Source organism: Homo sapiens, chromosome 16 (assembly GCF_000001405.40).
Source record: "Homo sapiens chromosome 16, GRCh38.p14 Primary Assembly".
In the NCBI taxonomy this organism is placed as follows: domain Eukaryota; kingdom Metazoa; phylum Chordata; class Mammalia; order Primates; family Hominidae; genus Homo; species Homo sapiens.
The window spans coordinates 62,869,470-62,870,613 of record NC_000016.10 but is presented as its reverse complement, the minus strand read 5'-3'; the positions used below and the strand labels follow the sequence as shown (position 1 = coordinate 62,870,613).

General features: G+C 33.9%; 1 annotated feature.

Moving 5' to 3' along the window:
- Positions 338-497: an enhancer, noted in NCBI's record as "active region_10936". NCBI's record gives its function as "activates an Ori minimal core promoter by ATAC-STARR-seq in GM12878 lymphoblastoid cells {active_cell/tissue: GM12878}" and the evidence as "EXISTENCE:reporter gene assay evidence [ECO:0000049][PMID:35858748]".

The window sequence follows — 1,144 nt, the reverse complement described above, 5'->3', positions numbered from 1 at the left end:
AATCTTAAAAATGAGTTATATTAGATGTATTGTGTTAAATTGAATTAAAATACATCAATGAGACTGGGAACAAGTTTTGACAATATCAAGGTAGAAAAATGTTCCTTTTTAGGTTGAGGTGATTTTGTTCCTAAAACCATATGTAATTACTCATTTACATATGTAAGGCCATACATAGGAAATAGTACTGTTTTCTAGCTACTCAAAGAGGTGACGATACCTTTCATTCCTTAAATAACCAAGTGTATTTTTAGGTGACTTCTGTTCAATCAATAGTTTTCTCTAATAATTGAAGCTGGCTCCTGTGCTTTCTGTTGTGATTTTCATTGTTGTTAAACATAGACAGCAATGTATATTATTTGTTGACAGAACGTTTCTCCATATCACTGATACTAGAAAGAAACTGCAGCCCAAGTGACAGTTTTTTCAAACAACCGAAAATATTATACCACGTCTGAAACAAATTGAGAGTAATATTCTTGTTTTGGGAAATGCTAGACCTTGTTGCAAGGGTTATAGGTAAAAATACTGTGCACACAGAAACAGACACATATAAGCAGGAGAGAGGTTTATTTGCATTTCTGAACTTCCCCACTGACATAATTACTCAGCAGAGAAAAAAAAAAAGTTTCTACCTCTCCAATCTTCAACGACCATTTACATTCACAATGTTCAAGAGATCTAACACTTTTAGGCACTTTGGAGATTTAACGGTGGAGGAGAGGAGAAAGACTTAAAAGTCTCAAAGTGCTTCTGTATTTCTCTCATTATTGGAAGCAGTTTAACAGTGTACTTCCAGGTCTCTCTTTTACCAGAGTTTGCTCTTTTCAACATTATTATTCAACATGAAAACTGATTTTTCAACCCAAATAGAACAAGAAACCTTTCCAAAAAGGTGCAAATTTCAGTGTCAGATTTAGATACATCTTGATAACAAAATTTCATTTTTCCCAAACACTGATCTGGGATGTTTCTGAGGATAGGCCCATTCCTTTCAGAAAGAATTTGTATAATGTTACTGAGATCACCAGAGATCACCATTTCTAACTGACACAATGCAGGATCTTGGATTTTGGAGGGATTTTAGAATGAAAACAGTGAACAAAGAAAGAGGGTCAGACTGTTTTCAGGGAATATTTATTAT